Source organism: Homo sapiens, chromosome 12 (assembly GCF_000001405.40).
Source record: "Homo sapiens chromosome 12, GRCh38.p14 Primary Assembly".
NCBI lineage: Eukaryota > Metazoa > Chordata > Mammalia > Primates > Hominidae > Homo > Homo sapiens.
Window position 1 is genome coordinate 41,256,390 of NC_000012.12, and position 27,335 is coordinate 41,283,724.

Consider the following 27,335-nt stretch of genomic DNA (forward strand, 5'->3'; position numbering starts at 1 on the left):
AACACTTAAATACCTTTATCCTCTGAGATTATGTCTCCATTCAATTGAATATTCAATAAATAAGTATGGAATAGCTAAAATGTGTTATAGAAACCTGGAGCAACATATTGATCCCCCTATACACAAGCCAACATTTACCTTCTCTTTTCTATCCTCTTGACGTAAGGCAAAGAAAAGTTGAACTTTTAGGGCTTCCAGAACTGTGAGGAATAAATTTATGTTGTTTACAAGATACTCACTTTATATAGTATCTTGCCATAGCTGACTGAACTAAGACACACATTCATTTGGCTGGATCATGACTGTCTCCAGACTTTCATATCTAAGTGTCTACCTGGCTACCTTCTTGTGTGTCTCAAGCCCTTTCTAACTCAAAAGGTCCATCTCATTCTTCTGTTTTTCTACCAAATCTGTCATCTGCCTATCTCAGGGAATGGTATGTCCATTCATCCAATTGAATAAGTCATAAACCATCTCTAATTAGTCAACTGGCTAGCCATCTCTCCATATTTATTGCTTATACGTATCACCATATTTCATTGTTATACATATCACCATATTTCATTGCTTTTCCCTTCTAAACATTTCTTGAACCTACTCACTTTCCTCCACATTCTTCAACCCAGCTTAGGCTACATTAATTTATCACCTGGACTGTGCCTCCTGCATCATCTACTTATACTCACTTCCTCTCAGTACCCCAACCAACCTATACTCCAAATTGCAGCCTAAGTAATGCTTTTCAAATGTAGATCAAATATGCTCCTGAAAACCCCTGAATGAATTCTCTTTCTTCCTAAGATAAGCATAACTACTTAGCATGGTTTTCTGGAAGCTGGGAAGTCCAAGATCATGGTACTAGCAGGTTAGATTCAGGTGATGGTCCTCTTCCAGGTTGCAGATTGCTGACTTTTCATTGTTTCCTCACATGGTGGAAGAGGCAAGGCAGCTCAGAGGCCTCTTTCATAAGGGCACTAATCCTGTTCATGCGGGTGCTTGCCCTCATCACCTAATCATCTCTCATAGGCCCTGCCTTCTAATACCATCGACTTAGTGATTAGGATTCAACACAGATTTAGAACATAGCAATGGTGAGTCAACTGCACAGGAGAGGTAACTGAAGCCTTGGGTGTAAATGGGATAGCCCTGGAATAGACCTTAGAGGAAGAAGAAAAGAGTCTCCAAGAAATTCAATATTTAACGGCCAGTGGAAGTGCAGAAAGCCTTTGGACACATAGAAGAAATGGCTAGAGAGGAAAGAGTAAAACAGGGAAGTGTGGTATCATGAAATTCAGTAAGTGATTTGCCAGGAGATTGGGTCTTTCAATTGTGTTTATTTTGAATGAATTTCACTATTGCTCTAGTTGGAGGAGATATTCTCAAATGGAAATTGACTGTGATTTATTTGCCCTTTTCACCTATTCACTCATTTTTATTTGTCTTCCTATGAGTGGGACAAACCACAGGTGTCTTAAAATTTGCCTGTTTATATATTTAACAGTAATATTAGAAGGTAACATTAATTCAGCACTTATGTACCTCTGCTAATGCTTTTGATGTTATTTAACCTATTCAACAAACTTTAGAGTAAGTAATATTATTATCCTTTTTATAAGTGAAGAAACAGTACCAGAACTTGAGTGATCCGGGCATGGTCACATAGCAAGTGATAGGGGCTGGATTTAGACACAATGAGCTACTCCCTGTGTAATAACTTCTGAGGGTTACTCCATCACTATTTGTCCTATTAATGTGAAGCTGACAGAGATTATACTGGACCAGTTGGTGTGCTCTAAGCCCAATTGTTTTGTATTGTGTTGTAAATTGTAAATTTTATGTTTCTATTTTTTCTTCTAGTATCCAAAGGAAAATATTTATATCTTGTTTAATTTTTAGCCATTTGAACGAATAAAACCTATAGCCTCAATGTTTTTATTTTGGTAAATAGAAGGAGGGAGGAAAGGAGAGAACGAGAGAGAGAGGAGGTAGAAAGAGTGAGACAAAGACAAATACTAGAAATAAAATGCTTTATTTTACACATAATCTGGAGTAAGAGTCATTGGTGATAGAAGTCATGTTTGTATAGATTAGCTTTAAGAAATCTTTTCTGTCCCCTATTAAAAGAAAAGGGGGTAAAAAGCAACTATTCTGTCATAAATATCATTTTAAACCATAAAATACATGATGAAAATACAAAGACTACTCTCTTAAAATTAAGTACCAAAAACGTGAAACTACATATAATTTATGTATTCCACAAATATTTATTGAGTGCATACTATTTGCTTGTACACTATTCTAGTGCTAGGGATGTAGTGATGAACAAACACCAAATTCCTTGCTCTTATGGGGTTTATATTCTATTAGGAGAGATGATCAATAAATAAATAAGCTAAGAGATATGTCAGGTGGTAACACATACCCAAAGGATAAAGCAAGATAAGGGAAAAAGGGAATGATGGAGGTGCTGTCTGATTAATGTTATGAGTAGTGATGATGATGATGGAGATGGTAAATACAGACTTTAGCTCATTTTTTGGCTTTTATGTTGGTAAAGACACTAGTAAGTAGTACATGGCGGGGGGGCACTACAATTCATTAACACTCTCCTTTATCATAGGTTGAAGCATCAATTTTGAAAACAATTGCATGCATTTAGAAATTAACCTGCATTTAAATACACACATAAAAGACACGGGAAGCAAACTTACCAAAAGTATAATGGATAATAATGGCTATCGTTGGCTGATTTTTATTTTCATGTGTATATTATAAGCATTTTCAACTGGTCCTATGATGCATAATTTTATAGTAACAATAACATTAAATATTTTCATATTTAGCCTATTGAGGAGAAAAGACAGAGTGGAAAGGGAAAGACAGGAGAAAATAAAGAAGAGTCAGAGAGACACTCATAAAAATAGACATGAAAATACAAATACATAGAAAGAAACCGTTCATATTAAGAAAAAGATGCAGAGTGAGGGACATGCTTACGTATTTGCTCACACAATATCACCATGTTATAGCCTTTTAAAAACAGTCACTGAATATTGTAATACTGCATTTTAACAAAACTAGCATGTCAAGAAACACTGGTACTTGAAAGTGTTTATTTGTGTTGGATGAAATTAGACTGAGGGTTGGATCTGCTCCTTATGGTAGAATTAAGTCAGTACCTGCTTAGGCTCTCAGATGACCTTTGTTGCAGACTATAACCACATCTGTGGACAAAGACTTCAAGACACAAGAGAAACAAGTCTGAAAACTATGTTAAGCATTTAAAATAAAAATAAAATCTTAAAAAAATATGAGTATATTGGCCGGACTGATTACTTTGCATCATGTAATTAGTTCACAAATGAGTTTAGTCTAGAGGGCTACTTTTAAGCTAATCAGCTTAGTTTTAGCCCTCTCTTTTAGATATCTTCATTGGTAACTATTTCACTTACTAGGATTATAAATTCTATTTATTTTGCAAGCAAATCTATAGAAATCGAAGTGTCAGTTACAGATGTCTTTTTCATCTATATTTCTGATAAGAGAGAATGCTGACCTTGAAGGAACAGCTTAGAATCATACTAGGACATTTTCTACTTTATTTTAGAATACTGTTGGCAAACTTATTTGTTTGGAGTATCTGGAAGCAATCTTTGGAATTGTTTTGTATTAGGTTAATGAAAATAATCTAATGCATTTTCTATCAAAAATACTGAAAGCAATTAAATTCACATTTCAAAAGTAAGATCTTTCAGATTGTTCTTTCTTTTGGCCAATTCTTTGGATCATATTTTTAGAAAGATTTCCTTTTCATGTGTTTTACTTTTTATTTTTTGACTTACGTATTAGGATAGGAACAACAATACTTCATTCATCCTATTTTCTAGCAGCATTTTTGTATAGTTTCCCTAACATAACAGCAGAGATGTGTGGAGTGGGGAGTGTCCACTAAACAAAGGGTATGAGAAGTGCCATCTTTTGTGGGTGGTCTCTGATTAAACAAGCAGTACAATTGAGTGGAATTGTGAAGCTTTATTTTATTTCGAAACTAAAATAAACTAAGGGCTTAAAGAAATTCAGAATGTAGCATATGTAAGTTATGACCCCAATTATACATGAGTTAATATAAAATTATATTTTTTACATAACAGCATTATGAAACTAAGGTTGCCTTATTTAAGTATTAGTAAAGACACATTTCTTAATATTAAAAATATTATTTGCTACATTTTCAGCAAATAAGAAAGAAAAGTTAATGTTTTATTAGTTCCATCAAAATACTTAACTGATGGTCTGTTGTGCCCACTATGAGTCTAGATAAGGTGATGCTATTATATATTTTAAAGTCAGTAATAAGAATCTTATATAAACTTGTGTACAATTGAAGTCATAATTTGGATTTTCTATAGTCTGCACTTCCTTAGTTTCATCCACAGAGAAACATTAACATTTCTCATACTTGAAATATCCCTGACAGAAAATAACGAGCTTCTAACCCCGTGGTTCTGCTGATTTTCTACAATATCACCCCCCGTAGTCAAGATAGTTTTAAATCTTGTGTTTTATGGAAATCAAATTCCATGATTTATCTCTCCCTTTTAATTAGAAAAAAACATGTTTCTATTAATTGAGTTAAATTGGTGATGCAGAAAGATGCACTATATTTATTATGTTGCCTCATAAATTCCATAGCACATCCCAGTTTTAAAAGACATAGGATTCTCTGTCCTCTTGGTTTATTAGGGATATGCAAATTTTCTAGGGGTTCAGGAATTCCCTAGAGTTTCTCATCCTAATTTGTATCAATTTTTATTAGAAAAAAAAAACTACCTTTCGTTGCATTTCGAAAAACGTATTCAGAATATTTGTGAAGAATGTAAACTGTAGTATTTAGTAGGAGGCAGTTACAAATTTCTTTAAAATATACCTAAGGGAAAATGTGTAAGCCCCATTCCATGTGGATTATTTGTTAGAAATCTAATAACTTGTGATAGATGAGTTCTGCTTCATCAGAAGTTGAAGGCTTAATCAAGATTTAGCAATTAAAGAAATTAGATTTCATTCTTTCACAAAGGCAAAGTAGTTCTATTTCTCTGTTTGTTTGTTTTCTTATTTTTTGAGATGGAGTCTCGCTCTATCGCCCAGGCTGGAGTGCCGTGGCGCGATCTCGGCTCACTGCAAGCTCTGCCTCCCGGGTTCACGCCATTCTCCTGCCTCAGCCTCTCGAGTAGCTGGGACTACAGGCGTGCACCACCTCGCCCAGCTAATATTTTGTATTTTTAGTAGAGACAGGGTTTCACCGTGTTAGCCAGGATGGTCTCGATCTCCTGACCTCGTGATCCCCCCTCCTCGGCCTCCCAAAATGCTAGGATTACAGGCGTGAGCCACCGTGCCCGGCCTCAAATAGTTCTATTTCTCTTTTTATTGTTTTGAAATCTCTTCAGTTCTACCAAATCCAGCAATTTACAATGAAGTGTAATGTAAGAAAGAGGAACGCATTCTTATGCTGGCAGATCCATGCCAGAGAACATGGGATGGGGAGAATAGTATCTGTGGTGGTGGGCAAGAATGGGAAGGGTACAGAATGGGCAGCCTGAAGTCCTGAAGATGGGCTCACTGGCTCCCCATTAAACTCTGGACATTTGTCCGGTGATTGCAATTTCTCTTCCAATCTTCATCCTTCCATTGCCTCCCCCGTGATTCCATTTGTACTCCTTCATGCCTCCCAGATGACTGGTCCAGTTCCCTAAATTAGCGTCTTCTCCAAAACGAGGACTTCTGGAACTCTTTTTCCATTTCCCAGTGGTGCTGATTGATGATACAGTGCTGTAACATTCATTATAGTTTTGCCTGCTGAAAGACCATGACCACAATCTGTCTACGGCCATGCACTGAGATAAGCAGTCACCTATGTGTCCACAACGTTCACTTGCTGGCCCTTGTCTGATGTGTTATCATACATTTGGTTCTGTTTAAGAAGCTTCTGTTGAGTGTCTTCATAAAATGGAATGCCCGTGGCCTGAGTATGCAAAAATGAGTAAGTCAAGGTTTGTGATTTTTAGAAACTTTCAAGTAAGTGAGGGAGCTGGAAAAAAATTCAGTTATTTTGTAATGTGTAATTCTTATAATAATTTCTTATGCAATAGCATCAGTATGGTTGTAGAGGTACAGACTAAAAGATACAAAGATACAACTTCCATTGAAGACATAGAATTTGTGATGATATTTGAAGGAAGATTGGATTTTGAAAGGGTGAAATTGCTATTGGTTAATAAACACCATTAAGTAAAACTATAGAAGTGATCACTGACAGAGAAAACTCAAGGGGAAACTAGTCATGAGCTGAATACTGTTTGTTTAGATATGCTAGATAATTTTAATAGTGAAATATCATTTTAGATGGATTCTATGTAAAATTATTAGAAGGTAAATGTAGATCACTAGAGCAAGATAAGATGTCGGCGTTTCTAGAATTCAATTGAAGACAAATCTTAAAGATTAATAGGTCAGTCAATTAAGTTACCATTTTTAGCCTGATTTTTTAAGTAGGGATAAAAAATACTGTATATATGTATATATATATAAAATATATCTCACTAACTAAACCACATAGTATATACTATTTAATAAAATTTACATGGTATAGATTACCTCATGCTTAAGGTAACTTCAGTGATTCCTCGAAATTATTACTGATTCCTTTAGTGAAGTCTCAAAGCAAAAATAATGTGTGTGTGTGTGTACACACACGTACATGTATCAATGAGACATATAAAATGAATTAGTCATGCTGATACCTTTTTTTGGTGGTGGTGGGGGAATGTACTGATAAAGCCTTTTTATCAAAATGTATCTTGTATTCACTTAAAGAAAATGAAAATAGTTGGGCGCGGTTGCTCATGCCTGTAATCCCAGCACTTTGGGTGGCCGAGGTGGGCGGATTGCTTGAGGTCAGGAGTTCAAGACCAGCCTGGCCAATATGGTGAAACCCCGCCTCTACTAAAAATACAAAAATTAGCCAGCATGGTGTTGCATGCCTGTAATCCCAGCACTTTGGGTGGCCAAGGCGGGAGGATCACTTGAGGTCAGCAGTTCAGGAACAGCCTGACCAACATGGTGAAACCCTGTCTCCACTAAAAATACAAAAATTAGCTGAGCATGGTGGCATTTGCCTGTAATCCCAGCTACTCAGGAGGCTGAGGCAGGAAAATCATTTGAACCTGGGAGGCGGAGGTTGCAGTGAGCCGAGATCCCACCACTGCACTCCAGCCTGGGCAACAGAGCAAAATTCAGTCTCTAAAGAAAATGAAAATAGAGTCTATCAATAAGTTAAAAGCAAAATGTTGGTAGAAAATAAGAATTAGCAATCACATGAATTTTTGTGCTTATATTAAATTTAAAAGCAAGTTACTAGTATAAACTATACAATAAAATATTTATCATATATAATCCCACACCTTAAAATACAAGAAGGAGGCTCCTCCTTTCCCCTTGTATTGATAATAGGTTTACATTTATCCATCAACATGCTTTTACCTCTGTGATCAAAGGTAAAATCAAGCTGTGGCCCAAAACTGACTCCATGAAAAACACACCCTTGACTTAACTTTTTGTCCTTTCAATTTCAGCAATATTTGAAAATATAAAAGTATAGTTAACAATATGTGCAGACTTATAAATTTACCAATTTAAGGAAAGAGAAAAAACCTATGGAAATTCTATCATTTAGCTGCCATATAATTACTTAAGGCTGTAGGTACAATGAATACATTGTTATTTATTTATATGATAACAAAATAATGAAAACATTGTATTGGCAGAGCTAATTATTCTCTAATTGCAAAGACTATCAAGTGACTTTGGCTTTATGAAAGTAAACTTCAACCTGAGTGTATACAATTTACAAAATTATGACATTGTTTTTTAAAATCATTATGAATAAAGCATCATACCAATAGTAGTTAGAATTGAACTTAGTCATAGCTCTTGGAAATTTGTTATCACCTTTGAAATATGTTCTTTTTCTTATTTTCTTTTTATCATGTAGTGGTTTGTAGTGGTTCAAAAAATCCATTAGAGGGCAATATAATATTGCTCTGAAGCTGAGAAAATATACTAGTGAAAGAACAGAGTATTACTCTGCCTCTCTGAGTTTTGAAAACAGCATTCTTACCAAAAGGAATTATTTAGTTCTGTTTTTTCATTAGTGTTTTATTTTTCTGAAACACAAACCATCAGCTGAATTTTAATCTTTTATTTATATTTAGAGCTGTAAAATAAATTATTCTAAATTTGAATTTAAATCTTGCAGGTGTATATTTAACTTGATAAATACAAATAGATGGTGCAGTAAATTTCCTTCTACAATTGTATTGTAGAAAACCTTTTTCAGAATGAAATCATGTCATTTGAAGCAACCTGGATGCAGCTGGAGCCATTATCTTAAGTGAATTAACGCTGAAACAGAAAATCAAATACCACATGTTCTCACTTACAAGTGGGTACTCATGAACATAAAGATGGAAACACTAGACACTGGGTACTCCAAAAGTGAGGAGGGAAAGAAGGAGGAGAGAAAGGAATGAAAAACTATCTAGTGGGTACTATGTTCACTATTTGGGTGACGGGTTCAATTGAAGCCCAGACCTCAGCATTGCACAACATATCCATGTAACAAACCTGCACATGTACCCCCCAAATCTAGAATAAATTGTAAAAAAACCTTTTTGTCCACAATATAATGTCAAATGAGTCCTTAAAAGTGAATAACAAACTTGCTTGGAATTTAAAAATTTAGAGATCTACATGTATAAGTGAAGAAATCCTGGGCTTCTTTTCAAAGTTGATCATTTATATTAAAGGACATATATTTTACATGCATGGTTTATAAATGCAAGACTTCTACTGGATCATCAACCCAAGTTATATTTCTAAGTTTGAAAATACACCTGAACTCATGTAACCAGTTTATATAATTTAACATAGATTTAAAGTTTTATTTAATTCAAATATAATTAAGAATTAATATGTTGTGGATATGGTTTTACCTTAAGAAACCATTCTATGTGACACCAGAAACACAGCAAGGACCGATCTCAAATCCTGTCTTAAATCCTGCAGGTTAGATTAAAATATATTGCATCAAAAAAATTGAGCATTTAAGGAAAACACTAGGCATTAAAGAACTACATTAGGAGTGCTGCTTTCTTCGAAATCTATGAGTCAGTCCTCAGTTGTTTCTTAGCATAGGGGCAGCTGCTGACTGACCCAAGGATGGACTAGACAAAGGCCATTCACACTTTTTTCTTAGCCAGATGCATGTACCACTTGTACTTAGTTATTTCATTGCATCATATTTTTAACTTAAATCAATGTATTGTAAAGGATACTATTATCAATTGCAAACCAGAATGATGTGCCATAAATATCAGGGTACCATAAAAATAAACACAGGGGAAATAGTTTACATTGAAAAAAGAAATTAAACAATAAAAATAAATTATGATGGCTCTAATATCTACGTAAAATGCATAGCTGAAAATAAGTTATTCAAATCAAAGCCTTTTTCTTCTCGGTTCGTAATAAAATGATTTGCTTTCACCCAGTGTTGCTTCGTTCATGTCTTAAAATGAGATATTAAGGCCGGGCGCGGTGGCTCACGCCTGTAATCCCAGCACTTTGGGAGGCCGAGGCGGGCGGATCACGAGGTCAGGAGATCGAGACCATCCCGGCTAAAACGGTGAAACCCCGTCTCTACTAAAAATACAAAAAATTAGCCGGGCGTAGTGGCGGGCGCCTGTAGTCCCAGCTACTCGGGAGGCTGAGGCAGGAGAATGGCGTGAACCCGGGAGGCGGAGCTTGCAGTGAGCCGAGATCCCGCCACTGCACTCCAGCCTGGGCGACAGAGCGAGACTCCGTCTCAAAAAAAAAAAAAAAAAAAAAAAAATGAGATATTAAAATCAATAAGTTAATTGCATTTTTTTCCTCTTGGTATTGATACTAACTGAAACTGAGAATCCCATTTTACCTGTGCACCTAGTTGGATATTGGGAGCTGGACTGCAATTTACATTTTCAATTACAGTCAGTGGTCCTCTGAGCAGTAGGAAGCAAATATGAAGCAGGAAGCTAGATCCCAGGCTACTCTTTGACCCAGGTCAGGAACTCACCTTAGGAAAAGATACTTTAAGAAATCTAAGAAATTATTAAAGAAGAATGGCACAAAGACCAATTCTGGCAAGAATGGAAGTGGGGGTAGTAGTTGGTTGTTCTAACATTTTAGCTTTTTAGTCCACTCATAATCTTAGACTGATCTGTTTTTTAAATCAGTGAAGGCTGTGTAAATATCCAGAATATGTTTGTTGGGAAAAAATATTTTTGTTCTAAAATAGTAAAATATTTCTTGTGAAAGTATTCAATTATTTTATAATTGATAAATGATGCTGTCTTTTATAATAATACATCAGTTAATAGTTGATGAATAGTTCTTAAGATAATACCATAAAGCTAAATACTCTTTCCAATTTTTTCACAGATTTTGTAGTACATATTTCCAGAATTATATCAGGTTGTCCATCCGTCTGTCCATCTATACAGTTAGACGACCAGCCCACCATCTCAGTGCATCAAAGCATTCTTTGCTCATGAAACTCTGCTCATGAAACTCTTTTTTTTCACGGGCTCTACAAACTGCTAGTTAAAAATAACTGTAGTGTTGGTCTGTGGACTCTCCAAGATAAACCTATCCAGACTTTGGCTATCATCTTATATGGATAATGTGAAAACTGCTTAAGACTTTCAGTGTATAATGAAACAAAAATATACTGTAGTGGATTGGGATAAGATGGCAAATACTTGGCACACATAGTGTATTACCCCTCCTGTGCCTGTGGCAGACATTGCTAATTGATCATTCCTACTGAAATTGATCAGAACCCATCTCTAGACAGCTATTACCAATCAACTGGAGCTGGCATGTTACTTTAACCTGAATGCCATTCCTATATCTGGAAGAAGAAGAAAAAAAAGACAAAGGTAAGAATATGGAACAGAAAAAAACAGAAGAGAGAACCAGGGTTTTCCATCGAATCAGAGGTTAGAAATGTCCTTTCTCTATGATATTGATAAAAATTGGAGTTGCAATAAAAGGAAGAAGAAAGGGCCAGGTGCAGTGGATCATGCCTGTAATCCCAGCACTTTGGGAGGCCAAGGCAGGTGGATCACAGAGGTCAGGAGTTCGAGACCAGCCTCGCCAACATAATGAAACCCCATCTCTACTAAAAATACAAAAAAAAAAAAAAAAATTAACTGGGTATGGTGGCGGATGCCTGTAATCTCAGCTATTTAAGAGGCTGAGGTAGGAGAATTGCGTGAACCCAGGAGATGGAGGTTGCAGTGAGCTGAGATCTCACCACTGCACTCCAGTCTGGGCAACAGAGCAAAATCAGTCTCAAAATGAAACAAACAAACAAACAAAAAGGAAGAAGAAGGTGTGAGTAAGAAAGTTGCTCTGTTAATCCCTTTCACTAAAGAAAAAGAATCCTAACAAAGGCACCTGTTACTAAGGCTGCCATTGCTTCCATGGTGGCCCAGGGGAAGCCAGAGACCTCTACTCTGAACTACTCTGATATCATTAAATTAAATTCAACAAATATTTATTAAGCAACATCATGCATACTATGCATAGGTTTCTGTTATACTAAGTTCTGCGACAGATACAAAAGAGGCATTTTTTTTATTTTTAACTTGGCTCCTATGTTGTACAAGTCACATACCAGGTAATTAACATATTTTGTTTAAATCCCCAAACACCCCTAGGTCCAAGTAGTGTTGTGTCAACTTTACAGATGAGGAGACTTGAGAAAAGTTTAGCAAATTGCCAGTAATCAAACAGCTGCCAGACGAGGCCAGATCTCACACAAAAATTTACAGTCCTTCATATTGTGTTGCCTCACATGGGCAGGAAGATAGTTTCACTTGTGTTTTTACTTGTGTCTGGATTTACTGCAAATAACAAAAGAAGCAAGACAACAGAGATGGCATAGTCTGCCTCCTGTTCACACGTGTTTTCTTGACCAAACCAGACAGGCTCCAAAGGATAAAGGTTAAACAAATTAGAATTACCAGTGCTAGACTTTTTAACATGGTCTCATTATTTGGTTTTTAATTATTTCCAGATACGAAAAACTTGACTTTTTCCCTCAAAGACAGTTGTCTGTTAAACTTTATTGTAAATATAATTTTAGAAACTTAAAGAGAATCAGCACATTAGGAAATCACATCATAATTTCCAATTAAATACATCATTCTTTTCCAACATAAAGAATTTTAGAGTCAGACTAATGAAATCTCCATTTTTTAGCAATGTTAATATTATTCTAATGGAGTACCTTTCATTTGAAGAGGTTGGTGTGTTTCTAAAAGTTCAAATTAAATTCGAGAAAGGACATTAGAGGGACACAAAGAACAAATCATTGAAGGATAAAAACATGGAAAATTGCGTGATTGAAACTAAGGGATTTCATTTTGTGCCTTGCCTTATAAATTATCAACTGGATAATACAATTCTGTATAGTAACCACCAATCATAAATTTTTCACTTGAAATGTATTGTCTGCTTCACCTAGCTCCTGCCTTGAGCTTGGAGAGCAAACAAGGATATTTAGGTTTAGCCTAGAGCAACGTAAAAGGAAATGGAATAAAATCTTCTCCAGATCTCTGTGCAGCTAGGGTCCTACAGCAAACAGAATTGAGGTTATAATGGTTCTGAAGCTAAGAACAGTACTGCTAGTGTCCATGAAAATGGAAAGCACCTATAAAAATGATTGACACTTTCTATAAAGTAGACTTTCACTGTCAATCATCTAAATATGATTCATTAATCATACTATAAGCATTTGACAGCTGACTGACAATAACAAATTCTCCCTAGAGAAAGCTATATAGAAATTTGAGAGCAGCTTATAATTGTTGATACTATTTAAGCTGGATGTTATGTATCATACAAGAAGCAGATAGCTTCTTGCAGCCCAACATAATTGATTCCAACAGAACCTTGTTACCACAGTCAGCATTTCATGGCTTCTGATGCATTCCCAATTACAAGGAAAAAAAAGGGAGAGAAAACAACACTTCTGATCTAAACTAAATAAATTGTTCAAAACAGACTTTTTGTAGAAAATAATTTTCAAATTCTTTCAGCAATTTGAGAGCCTTAATATTACAGGGCATAAAGACATGGCCAGGCCTGGCGTCAGTTTCTCCATGTTTCTAACACAGCCTGCCCAGGGTTCAAGACTCTATATGCCATATTTTGAAGTTTTCCACTGTATCAGACTGTGTTGTTTCTTGAGGTATTCCAAAGAAAGATGAAAAGCCAAACTTTAAATAAAGCACAAGATGGAAAGTTTAAGGATGTAATAATAAAGACTTGCTATGCACAGACCTGTGGGTTATCCTTGGGGAAGAAATAAAGTCAACACCAGGTTTTAAACCATAATAAGCATTCTGATACACACACACGATATTGCTAAAATATTTCTATAAAGTCAATTAAATGCCATATAAGATGAAATGTCTCTCCCCCTACCTCTCTCTTTTGCTTTGTCTGTCTCTCTCTGGTTTTTTGAATAAATTCTAATGGGTCATTGTGGTAAAGTGGACTGAGTTAGTAGTCATATAAACCTGGATTTGACTTTAATTTCACGTTTGCCCATTTAACAGCTATGGCTGAGTCAGTTACTCATTTCTAAAGCAGTGATAATTATTTTCCCATCACCACATGTTATAAATTAAATGCGCTAATAGATGTAACAATAGATTTTACTCAATTAACTCTGCAATTATCTGGGATAATTTTTGGATCGTAACTATTGTGTGTGTGTGTGTCTGTGTGTGTGGTGTGTGTGTGTGTCTGTGTGTGTGGTGTGTGTGTGTGTCTGTGTGTGTGTGTGTGTGTGTATTTAGAATTAGATTGTTAATGCATGTAACCTGGCCATAATTTAAGCAACTTATAGAAATAAAGATTAATGAATTTAGAGAAAATTGAATTCTATCACTTAATAGTAAGGGGAACTAAGTCATAAAACGCATAGATGGCTTGTGTAACAAAAGGCTTATTTCTTTAAAAAAATCATGTTTATAGAACTTTGGCTTTCTCAAAATTTCCACTTGCTTTCAGTGAAGATACAAAATTGGAATCTTTATTCCATCTTATCTTCACTGCAGTCAGAATTCACCATTTTAAACTAACTGATTAATCATACAATAAATGTACTTACTTTTGTAGTAACTATTTCTTGATATTTTTATATCCTAACAGGATAGAGATGCAGCCAGTTGGAAGAAATGATGCAGATTACATGCAAAATTTATTCATTCTTTTATTAATTTGTTAGTTACGTAGAAATCTCAAAATAATTATTGTGTGTATACCATCATGAGAGTGTTAAAAACTCAGTATATGTAGTGGGGAAGTAATATTTTAATGAGAAGTGCTCTTTCCTAAACTGATTTAGTGAAAAATTTGTTTAAAAATAATACAGTATAGTAAAGTTGATTATTAAAATGTCAAAACTTAATTTTTACACAATGAAATTTTATTTTCTAAATCTGAAATATAGTCTTCGTAGCATCACATATATGACTAATTCTACTTGACTTATATAATTTGCTTTTATATTATTTTTCATTTTGTGTTTTATATTATCTAAACCTCAATGTATATAAATATTCTTATCTCATCAGCTTAAAACAATATAGCTATTATTTTTTCTTGAATGACTGTATCTAGAGATTTTAAAAAAACTAATTTAATAAATCCACTCCTCCAACACAAAGCACAAAATAGAGACAGGATACATTAAATATCTTCCAAGTTTATTGTTTTATGAATAGCTGATTCTCATTACACTTAGCTACTTTCCCTTAGGTACAAAAAATATGGGTCAAGTCCTATTTTCATGGCCCTATTAAATCACAACTGCAGGTACCATTTTTAAGCATCTATAGCATTGTTTTAAAGGTATCTTTCACATGAAGGTAGTTTGAAAAGTCGTTCTTCCCTGGGTTTTGCATAATTATTTTCTCTTATTCCAAAACTCAGAATTTTTGGTCTAGTCTGTTTTAACCACCTTGAATCTTGCCAATTAAAATGCTAGCCTCCTGGCCCTAACTTCCTTTCCCTTGTTCCTAGCAAGCATCTGTTCTTCCACATTCTTGTATAGTTTAACTCAAAATGCCAATCAGTGATGATTGATCACATTTTTCACACAACAGCCTGGACCCGGATTCTGCACTCCACATGCATTTGCCGTTTTGATTAATGAACATAAATCAGCGGTGACAATTCACATTTGCAAGTGGATGGAAAGAATTATTAGAAATGCAGCACATTAGTAAGCAAAAGCTTCCCTTCATTCTATTACAATTGCATTGAAAACAAATACACTCCCCTCAGAGGACTTTGTGGTTATCATTAGGGAATATCTGAAATATGGAAATAAAACACATGCTGCCAGGCCTGTTTTCATTATTTTGATCTCATAAAAGATCTTTATATTTCAATACTGCACAGACAACAAATGATTTTGCAACATCATTTCTATGTTTATATAAGCCTCTACTATATAGAATATCTCAAAAAGCAATTCCTTTCTCTACCAAATAGAGTATTTTTTTTTTTGGAATGAAAGAATGGCAAAAAAAATTTAACTTGTTTCCTTAATTCACATAAACAATAAAAATCAAAGATTTTGTCTATGTCCATTCAATGAATTACTTACTTTTTTCCCTCCACTAATATTTACTTTAAGAACATAAAATTCATAAATAAATAACCTCTTCTGGTTTTAAAGCCAAAGTGCCAATGATATGTGGTGAATCAGCCTAAAGTCAACTGGTAAAAATATTGTTTTCTTTGGTTATGAAAATTTCTAACTCAGTTGAGACATACAGATCAGGATCTTCAAATAAAATATTCTTAAATGGAATATGTATGAAATATACTTCACAGACCAAATATATTGATCCTAAAGTGACCTGTTTGACTTATTAATTTTAAAGCATCATTACTATAATGGCCCATTTATTGTATTAAATGAGTATTAAATCTTTGCAGCTACTTAAGACTGCTTTTAAGGGTCACGGATTTAATTGCCTCAATAAATATATACCTATACTATCAGTTATTTCTAACTTCTCAGGAGGCAAAGGCACTGGTGTGTTTAGTAAGTATAATTGACTCTTTTAGTAAGAAATGGATACACTTTTAAAGCACATGTATCAAGACTGCCAGAAAAAAATTTAAAACTTTATCGGCAGTTCAAAAGTTATAAAAATATTTGCCAAGCTTGAAAAACATTTCTATCTTTATTTTATAATAACATATTTACTTAGAAAGTGCTTTGTTTTCTTTCCCCTTTGTGGCATCGAATTGTCAATTAAAGGCCTTTAGAGTGACCATGGGATGAGTTGGTTAAGTTGCTGTCCAGGTGGGAGAACAGCAAAATAGATGCTGTTGGTTGTAACTCTGAATTTCCAGAAGTCACATTGAAGTCCTAATAATCAAAATATTTAGGAGGAAATTGAATTCTGCAATCAATGAGAACTATAGTCTTGGCAGTTCCTAAAAGGCGCATTTCCTTGTTGTTTTGCTTAAGCTTGTCTGGGCTTCATTTAGTAGTCTGCTTATGTTAAATTTAAGCAATCATGGGTATGGAAAATGAATAAAGTGTTGACTATCCATTTGGATCAATTTTATTCATTCAAAAATGTACATTTTAATAAAGTAATGTTAGGCACTATGGATAGAAATATCAAAGAGGCTCAGTTTCTTCTTCCAAAGTGTTCCTAAAGAAGGAAATAGACATAGAAGGAAAGCAAGTTATAATCCAGTTTCATAAGTACAGTAATGGAAGATTGCATAAGACAGTATGCTGGCAAGCGCAAGAATGATCAAACCTGGTTGTGGAGAGTGTCATGAAAGTCATTATAACCAAATCTGAAAATGCAGTTCCCCAGACGCTTAAAGAAGAAAAATGTATTCTGAAAAGAAGAAACAGTGAATTCAGGACAGAGAATGAAACAGTATAGCGTGATAGAAACTACAAGTAGCCTTAACTGTAACTTACATATAGGGCATCTCCCAGAGATGGGGGAAGTGATAAAGGGTGAAGCTAGTAAGGAACTTGTATGCTTGGAAGTTTTGACACTACTCTATAAATGATGTAGAAACCAATAAATGAAGTGTTTCATTAAAGAAAAAGTATATTCAGTCAGAAATTAGCAATTTTAGGAATTTTTATAATACCTAAAAAATGACTGAACATAAAATCTTATTTTTAATTGATAAAATATGTTTTCAGGTTTACCTGCAAAAACTATGGTTGATTTGCAAACATGTCTTATTATAGTAGAAAATTACCAAATGTATGCTATTTATCATTAAATTTACCTTCATGGCAGCAGATGCCAAAGAACTAGTTCAGCAATTATGCCTTAATGTCATCCCATTATCATTTATCATTTTTCTTAATGCATCAAGATCTAAAGTCCTTGAATGCAAGCTTGGTCAGCAACCATAGAAATATGGGGTTCATTTTGTCTTTACTTTGTCATAAAAGGGGTCTTGCCTTCTTCTATGTGGGACATGGCATTTAAGTTAAGTTCATATAACTTTTTAAGTAAGGACATTATATATTTTTTTCATTTTGTACTGGGATAACTACCTCACCAATAAGTGGTAGAATAAATTGTAGCCACATGTCAAAAAGTAGGTCATCCTAATGAGTGTGTGTAAAGCTGGTATTTTCCTTTTGAAAATGTCAGGGTTTTTAAAAAAACAGAACAGAAATATGTTTTATTAATAACCACTCTGTGTATTGTGTAGTTAAAATCTTTGACTATATAACCTCTTTCATACCAAGCATTATTTAAAATAATAAATCTTTCAAAATTTAAATAGATATGGCACAAAGGTGCAATTTGAAGGAATATATAGAGTTGATCATTATAAATGGAAAACGCTTAAAATGCTGAGCTTGTTTCTATGTTTAGTGAACACTTCCTAGTTTAAGCTAGAGAGAAGGATTGCCTGAATTAATGAAAGTTCCGAATTAGAAAATATTTTGGAAGCAAATATAGTACCATAGATGCTCAGGGATATTAGAAGCCATTTTTAAATACCAACTAAAGTCTATGTAACATTGACATTATCTCTACCTCTTGTATCCCTAGACACTACTGAAATACCTGAATCCATGGTGGAGAGCAGATCTCCCAAGACAGCCTGCTTCTTCTTCAGATGATTCCATTAGGAAAAGTTTTCTTATATTTTGCCAAATCTATCATAGCTAGCATTCCCTGGCTCAAACTTTGCCTGGTGTGTTCATGAAGTATACACCCTTGAAATATCTGAAGACAGTTAAAGATTAATTCCCTTCCTGTTTACTGAATCACTGGACTCGCCATTAGGGAAATGTGGTAGGAAAAAAATGCTCTGAAATCAGTCAAATATTTGCAAAGTCTCCCAGTGAATTATTATAGACAGAACAATTTTGGCTGACAGTATAATTAGGTAGATTCAGGCCCAAGAGCTCATTGGTGGGTCAGTGTCGGACTAGGCACCTGATGCATCTATGTAGTCCAGATGCTACAGGGATCAGTGCTTTAGACTAAGATGCTGAACATTTTAACTCATGAATAAGCTGAGAGGCTTGACTGGCATGGGATCAAACTGATGCCAGAAGCAACTCTGGAAGGGAGAGTGGATATGCCTAACGACAGTTATCCCAGGGAACTGTGTGGCTCATTTCCTCATTTAATTAAAGTCTCTGATAAAAAGTCCGTATTTCAGATAGCCTCTGTCTTACCACCTTATAAAATTAGCATTCTTCCCCATCATAACTCTCTTACTGGCTCATTTTTCTTCATAATGCTTACTACCACTTGTTGTATATTTATTTATCAGTTTACTTGAACTAACCCACTAGAATGTAAGTCCCAATATTTTATAGTTTTCATTGCCAAAAATTCAATCTTTCAGTTCTTTCCCATTAAGTGATTTTGAGGCCAAGTTGTTGGCAGGATTTTTGCAGTGGCCTGAATAACAAACTTAGAAGAAGTGAGCTCAGTGGAGTGACAGGGGAGGCAGGAAGGAAATAGATCCTCTCTGCTCCACATCTTTACACACTGCATGCTAGGGTCTGTGCTAGGCGGTTGGTGTAATTTTTATTTATCTCCCTTAAAATTTTATAAGAGTATACTGTGGATTTTTTTAAAAAAATAATCATTTCTGAGGGATTATTACATATAAGGCTATAGATATATAGTAAGTAAAGGAGATAGGATTCAAACCCAAATATGGCCACAAGAGTAGGAAATAATTTTTAATATCTGCCTACAAAGGTTTCAGTGATGAGTATAAAGCATTTCACTTTTTAAAATAAAAATGGAGACTCATTGAATCTAAGGAAATAATTTAGAGAAAATGTACAGGCTGGATGTGAAAAATGAAGGTGATTTTGAGGGATGTGAGACTAGAGAAGACTATGATAGTACTTGTGAGTTTCGGAGTTGGGTAAATGGTTACAGGCAGAGGAAACTCCAGATTTATATGCTTTTCTATCTTGGTAGATGTGGTTGACTAGCAGTAGTTTCACAGTTGTTATTAATGAGAAGGGTGAATGGTGTAGGAAGCCTAGGACATTCTCGATAGGGATGACAGCAATCCCAAGGGACAAATATTGGTCCTTGGAGGGCAAGAAAGCTTACATATTACAATGGTTTGTGGCTCTCCAAAGAACTGCAGTATGTAAACAGATATACAGCATATTTGTGGTATTAAAATTTCATATGGAAGGTGGTGGGGAGATAATGGAAACCAAAAAGAAACAGGGACCTAATACAAGAAAGCAGAAACCATACAAGAAAATGATTTATACAAATAAGCTCTTCTCTGGTGTTTTAAGAACCCTTTTTAGTATATTATAGTTATTGTAGCAGTTTAACGAGTAGACCCTGGCCTCAGATAGATTCAGATAGACCTGGGGATTATTTTATACACGTCATAGTTCATATATTTATATGAAATATGAATATATTTATGAAATATGAAAATATATATTTCATATATTCATACATCATATTTATACATGTCATATTTCATATGTGTCATAGATTCTGCTAAGTGTTTCCCATTATATAGTCATTGATTAAAGCCTTGCAATAAATTTATGAGAAATTCTTTGAATAAAACTTACCCAAAGTCACACAGCTCTTAATGTTAGGGCCAGCAATCACTATGAGATTTATTTTCCTAATACACTGGGAATAGAAGGTAGTCATACTATTCTGCAGATTACAAGAATCACATCAGCTAATGTATGTAAAGTACTAAGCAAAGTGCCAGGCAGGAATGTTAGCTACTCTTATTATCTATCTATGGTCAGTACCCTATATTTGTCTGGATAAACCAGAGTCAGCAGTATTTACCATTCTTAGAGACCCAGTTCTACTTTAATAATAATGTCATGCATAATGGTTAGCTAGTGTGACAAATGTACCACACTAATGCAAGATGGTAACAAGAGGGGAATCTGGATATATGGAAACTCTCTGTACTATATTTACCACTTTTCTCTAAATCTCAATGTATTCTAAAATATAACAATTCTTTAAAAGAGATTCACTTCTAGCAACAAATTGAGTATGTTGTTGTAAATTGCAACTTTAAAAATCAGTTTCATAAATTCAGCAGAACAATGAAAATGCAAAACAGACAAAAAACAGTAATGAGCGTGCACAGGAATTTTAAACATTCCATACATGAACCAGCAGATGGCAGAGTACGCAAGCATCTGAACTTGGGTACTAAAACCCTGCTTCCCATCAAATGAAGCCTTTTCATTTTTCACGTAGTTTTAGTTAATTTATAGGGCCAACGATATAAAATCCTGCTGCCCCTAACTACAAGGCCGTTGCTGAAAATAAAACGGGCGTGAGTTCTGGGTGGATTTGTTAGCTCACAGGCACTGCAGAGGCGAATTTCCCACTGAGGAAAGAGTCCGCTTTCATTCTGAGCGTTGTGAACTCAGTTTATGCACCAGTGCAGATATGATGTCTATAAACAGATGGCCGGCCTTCTTATCCCAATCTCTTTCTCACCTTACGCTCACTGTGGTGATAGCTCACCTGGTCCAGGTGGGTGGATGATTGACTCTGTAGACCAGACTAGCTGGACTAATCAGTGATCCCCAGCTGTGCTGACACTAATCTAGAGTTACTGCTGGAACGAAAGTCTAACCTCCAACTGAAATAAGGTTGGTGAACAGCTCTTGTTGCAACGATTGAAGAGACTCTGCTGCTCTTTGGTGTGTAGGAAAAGTAATGTTTGTTAGAGGTAATCAATTTCTCTTTGGTAGATTAGCAGCTATAAATAGAATTCACATACAGAGGTTCCGTATGGATAAAGATGATTTTCTTTTCTTATGTCTAGGGGAGAGGAAGATAATTTATGTGAGCAAGTGAAAGGTGATGTGGAATAAAAAGGATATTAGTTAGACATTTTAGTCCTCGGCAAAGAATTTAAGGCTAATGGCCTCCATCTGATCCAAAAGCCAATTATGCTAATGACGCTCTTAGATGTAAAAGCTGTAGCTATAAGTCAACACAGACTTTTGGCACTCAATATGTTTGCATGGACACTAAGATGATCCTTTTCCTCCTGTTCCCTGGCTGTACTCAAAATTCAAATCCCTTTTACCTTTTGTTATATGCGTGACTCATAAGATAATAAGACTGAAAGAGGAGGCTTTTTATAAGGCCATGATTGGATATATCCTCCAAGCTAAGTCTTATGTTATATTCAGAAGTCATGGAAGAAAAACATAGACACAAGATACCAGAAAAGGTTGTCATCTCCCTATCCAGGATAATGTTTTTCACCAAATTCAAGGAGACTTTTTAATTTCTTTTGTTCAGAAGGTTAATCATTGAGATGGGTTAATGTACACACATTAGTTAATCTTAGCAGTCTGTTAAATGAACAGGTTTATTGACTTTACAAAAGATTACTTTGTGTAACGATTACATTGAAAGAGCAGAACTCAATATGGTGCAATATAAAGCATTATTTTTCCTTCCACTGTCCCTAAAACCCTGCTAGAGGGGCCAGCTATTTCTGTGCTTCTGATGAAAAGTGAAAGCAGTCCCATAGCTTCAGTAACTTTTAATTATAAAAACAGTCTCTTAATAATCAAAATTCCCTACCTCATTCAAAGTTAAACCTTGTCCAGTAGTTCCCTTGAAAGTCCTTTTACTCAAGATAGAGATAAGGGAACAGCGGAAAATGCTACATCACAACAACTGTTCCTAAGGAAATTCTATTCCAAACACTCCCATCCTTTGAACTTTCTAATTTCTAAATATCTTCTTAGTGCGGATTAAATGGAGGGTCTCAGTATTTGTTTTGGGATGCCATTTTAGCAAGCCCTGCATAGTGATGGAGCCCCTACTAAGGATGCATGGATAAAGGCCCTTATCTCAGCCTTTCAGCCTTCAGCTAAAACAGAAAGAAAAAGTCCCAGTTAAATATCCTGCCATATTTATAACTCCAGAAGGATTTTTGGGACACTAAAAATAAAGGCAGGGTGACATAAAAATAACGATGTGCTAGGATTCTTGTTAAGTGACTCTCAAAGGGCACTGGGAAACCAGTTACACGCAGGGTTCGGGTATACAGTGTTTTTCAAATGTTTGGGTTGGTAACATTTGAGAATCAATGCTCTTTTATACTTTAAACAAATCAGTCATTCTTGACATAAGTCATTTATAAAATAAGAATGCTGAACTAGAGAGATGTATAAGATTCCCTTAAACTCAAAATTATTTAAGAACTTTCTTAAGCAATCAAAAAGAGAAAATAAAATTGTCAAAATATTATTTCTAGTCATCTCAGCTTTGATTTTGTTTACATGAAGTAGGCAGGCAGTTTTTAAAACCTAAAAAGCTAAAACGTGTTGGCCCAATTTATGAACTTAAATGAGAAGCAGCATCTTCATTTTATAAAAAATGATGGTCGTGGTATTTAAAGATGGGTAGTAGTTTCCAACAATAAGTAGGAGCCACTATTATTGAATAATTAGTTTCTATTTTGGTTTTTCTAGGAAAGCTTGTATTTATTTATTTATTAACCTAAATAAGTCTCTGTGTCCTCAGATAAGAATATTAATTGACCTGGCTCCAGTCTGTGTGAAATGTGAATTTCCTTAAAACTGAAAATGTAGAAATCAAACATATTACTATTTCAAGGAAGTACTAATGTTTTCAATAGAGGGAAGAAGACATGGGTTGAAACAAAGAACTAGAGTTGGAGATAATTATAGTAGTATTGAGGATAGCCTATAAAGAGACAATAATGATTAATAAAAGCCCACCTGCAAGGCATATAAGAAGATTTTTAAAACTTGAAGACTTCTTTTTTCCATCAGTCTATAGAACTGTAAGGTAGAAAACAGCAACATAGGGAATTCCTGGGCAAGATGGCCGAATAGGAACAGCTGTGGTCTGCAGCTCCCAGCAAGGCCCATGCAGAAGGTGGGTGATTTCTGCATTTCCAACAGAGGTACCCGGTTCTTCTCATTGGGACTGGTTAGACAGTGGGTGCAACCCATGGAGGGCGAGCAGAAGCAGGGTGGGGTGTCGCCTCACCTGGGAAGCACAAGGGGTCAGAAAAATCCCTCCTTTTGCCAAGGGAATCCCTGAGGGACCCTGCCATGAGGGACGGTGCTATGCAGCCTAGATACTATGCTTTTCCCAGGGTCTTTGCAACCCACAGACCAAGAGATTCCCTCGGGTGCCTACACCACCAGGGCCCTGGGTTTCTAGCACAAAATTGGGCAGCCATTTGGGCAGACACTGAGCTAGCTGTGGGAGTTTTTTTCCGTACCCCAGTGGTGCCTGGAATGCCAGCAAGACAGACCCGTTTACTCCCCTGGAAAGGGAGCTGAAGCCAGGGAGCCAAGTAGTCTTCCTCAGCGGATCCCACCCCCATGGAGCCCAGCAAGCTCAGATCCACTGGTTGAAATTCTGGCTGCCAGCACAGCAGTCTGAAGTCAACCTGGGACACTCGAGCTTGGTGCGGGGAGGGGCGTCCGCATTACTGAGGCTTAATTAGACAGTATTCCCCTCACAGTGTAAACAAAGCTACCAGGAAGCTCGAACTGGGTGGAGCCCACCGCAGCTCAGCAAAGCCACTGTAGCGAGACTGCCTCTCTAGAGTCCTCCTCTCTGGGCAGGGCATCTCTGAAAGAAAGGCAGCAGCCCCAGTCAGGGGCTTATAGATAAAACTCCCATCTCCCTGGGACAGAGCACCAGGCAGAAGGGGTGGATGTGGGTGCAGCTTCAGCAGACTTAAACGTTCATACCTGCAGGCTCTAAAGACAGCAGCGGATCTCCCAGCACAGCGTTCCAGCTCTGAGAACGGACAGACTGCCTCCTCAAGTGGGTCCCTGACCCCCGTGCCTCCTGACTAGGAGACACCTCCCAGCAGGGTTTGACAGACACCTCATACAGGAGAGCTCCAGCTGGCATCTGGCAGGTTCCCCTCTGGGACAAAGCTTCCAGAGGAAGGAGCAGGCAGCAATCTCTGCTGTTCTGCATCCTCTGCTGGTGATACCCAGGTAAACAGGGTCTGGAGTGGACCCACAGCAAACTCCAGCAGACCTGCAGGAGAAGGGCCTGACTGTTAGAAGGAAGACTAACAAACAGAAAGCAGTATCATCAACATCAACAAAACAGATGACCACGCAAAAACTCCATCCAAAGATCACCAACAGCAAAGATCAAAGGTAGATAAATCCACAAAGATGAGGAAAAACCAGTGCAAATAGGCTGAAGATTTCAAAAACCAGAATGCCTCTTCTACTCCAAAGGATCACAACTCCTCGCCAGCAAGGGAACAAAACTGGACAGAGAATGAGTTTGATGAATTGACAGAAGTAGGCTTCAGAAGGTGGGTAATAACAAACTCCTCCAAGCTAAAGGAGCATGTTCTAACTCAATGCAAGGAAGCTAAGAACCTTGATAAAAGGTTAGAGTAATTGCTAACTAGAATAACCAGTTTAGAGAAGAACATAAATGACCCGATGGAGCTGAAAAACATAGCACAAGAACTTCGCAAAGCATACACAAGTATCAATAGCCAAATTGATCAAGTGGAAGAAAGGATATCAGAGGTTAAAGATCAACTCAATGAAATAAAGCATGAAGGCAAGATCAGAGAAAAAAGAATGAAAAGGAATGAACAAAGCCTCCAAGAAATATGGGACTATGTGAAAAGACCAAACCTATGTTTCACTGGTGTACCTGAAAGTGACAGGGCGAATGGAACCAAGCTGGAAAACACAGTTCAGGATGCTTTCCTTGCCTGATTGCCCTGAGGGATTTTGTCACCACCAGGCCTGCCTTACAAGAGCTCCTGAAGAAAGCACTAAATATGGAAAGGAAAAACTACTACCAGCCACTGCAAAAACATACCGAAATGTAAAGACCATTGACAGTATGAAGAAACTGCATCATCTAATGGGCAAAATAACCAGCTAACATCATAATGACAGAATCAAATTCATACATAACAATATTAACCTTAAATGTAACCGTGCTAAATGCCCCAATTAAGAGGCAAAGACTGGCAAATTCGATGAAGAGTCAAGATCCATTGGTGTGCTGTATTCAGGAGACCCATCTCATGTGCAACGATACACATAGGCTCAAAATAAAGGGATGGAGGAATATTTACCATGCAAATGGAAAGCAAAAAAAACAGGGGTTGCAATACTAGTCTCTGATAAAACAGACTTTAAACCAACAAAGATTTAAAAAGACAAAGAAGAGCATTACATAATGGTAAAGGGATCAATGCAACAAGAAGAGCTAACTATCCTAAATATATATGCACCCAATACAGGAGCACTCAGTTTCATAAAGCAAGTTATTAGAGACCTACAAAGAGACTTAGACTACCACACAATAATAGGGGGAGATTTTAACACCCCACTGTCAATATTAGACAGATCAATGAGACAGAAAATTAACAAGGATATTCGGGAGTTGAACTCAGCTCTGGACCAAGCAGACCTAATAGACATCTACAGAACTCTTCACCCAAAATCAACAGAATATGCATTCTTCTCAGCACCACATTGCACTTATTCTAAAATCAACCACATGATTGGAAATAAAACAATCCTCAGCAAATGCAAAAGAACGGAAATCAAAACAAACAGTCTCTCAGACCACGGTGAAATCAAACTAGAACTCAGGATTAAGAAACTCACTCAAAACCATACAACTACATGGAAACTGAACAACCTGCTCCTGAATGACTACTGGGTAAATAATGAAATGAAGGTGGGAAATAAATAAGTTCTTTGAAACCAATGAGATCAAAGACACAATGTACCAGAATCTCTGGGACACAGCTAAAGCAGTGTTTGGAGGGAAATTTATAGCACTAAATGCCCACAGGAGAAAGTGGCAAAGATCTAAAATCGACACCCTAACATAGCAATTAAAACAACTAGAGAAGCAAGAGCAAACAAATTCAAAAGCTAGCAGAAGGCAACAAATAACTAAGATGACAATTGAACCGAAGGAGATAGGAGCAGGGAAAACCCTCCAAAAAAATCAATGAATCCAGGGGCTGTTTTTTTTAAAAGATTAACAGAATTAGCCAGACTAATTAAGAAGAAAAGAGAGAAGAATCAAATAGACACAATAAAAAATGATAAAGGGGATATGACCACTGTTCCCACAGAAATACAAACTACCGTCAGAGAATATTATAACACTTCTGTGCAAATAAACTAGAAAATCTGGAAGAATGGATAAATTCCTGGATACATACACCCTCCCCAGACTAAACCAGGAAGAAGTCAAATCCCTGAATAGAACAAAAACAAGTTCTGAAATTGAGGCAGTAATTAATACCCTACTAGCCAAAAAAGCCCAGGACCAGACAGATTCACAGCCGAATTCTACCAGAGGTACAAAGTGGAGCTGATCCCATTCCTTCTGAAACTATTCTGAACAACAGAAAATGAGGGAATCCTCCCTAACTCATTTGATGAGGCCAGCATCATCCTGATATCCCAACCTGGCAGAGACACAACAACAACAACATTTTAGACCAATATCCGTGATAAACATCAATGCGAAAATCCTCAATAAAACACTGGCAAACCGAATCCAGCAGCACATCAAAAAGCTTTTCCACCGTGATCAAGGTGGCTTCATCCCTGGGATGCAAGGCTGGTTCAACATATGCAAATCAATAAATGT

At 36.2% G+C, this 27,335-nt stretch overlaps 1 protein-coding gene across 1 annotated transcript in view, besides 4 other annotated features; it reads left to right on the forward strand.

The window, feature by feature from the left end:
• The window catches only part of PDZRN4 (PDZ domain containing ring finger 4), a 386,426-nt gene that overhangs the window by 68,070 nt on the left and 291,021 nt on the right, over positions 1 to 27,335 (forward strand). The window lies entirely within an intron of this gene.
• Positions 23,490 to 24,689: an enhancer, noted in NCBI's record as "BRD4-independent group 4 enhancer chr12:41673681-41674880 (GRCh37/hg19 assembly coordinates)". NCBI's record gives its function as "activates an origin of replication core promoter dependent on BRD2, P300/CBP, MED14 and CDK7 cofactors, and independent of BRD4, by STARR-seq in HCT116 cells {active_cell/tissue: HCT116}" and the evidence as "EXISTENCE:reporter gene assay evidence [ECO:0000049][PMID:35650434]".
• Positions 23,490 to 24,707: a biological region, named in NCBI's record as "BRD4-independent group 4 enhancer GRCh37_chr12:41673681-41674880".
• Positions 23,606 to 24,157: an enhancer, noted in NCBI's record as "H3K27ac-H3K4me1 hESC enhancer chr12:41673797-41674348 (GRCh37/hg19 assembly coordinates)". NCBI's record gives its function as "activates a minimal SCP1, AML or CMV promoter by ChIP-STARR-seq in naive H9 embryonic stem cells {active_cell/tissue: H9 hESC(naive)}" and the evidence as "EXISTENCE:reporter gene assay evidence [ECO:0000049][PMID:30033119]".
• Positions 24,158 to 24,707: an enhancer, noted in NCBI's record as "H3K27ac-H3K4me1 hESC enhancer chr12:41674349-41674898 (GRCh37/hg19 assembly coordinates)". NCBI's record gives its function as "activates a minimal SCP1, AML or CMV promoter by ChIP-STARR-seq in primed H9 embryonic stem cells {active_cell/tissue: H9 hESC(primed)}" and the evidence as "EXISTENCE:reporter gene assay evidence [ECO:0000049][PMID:30033119]".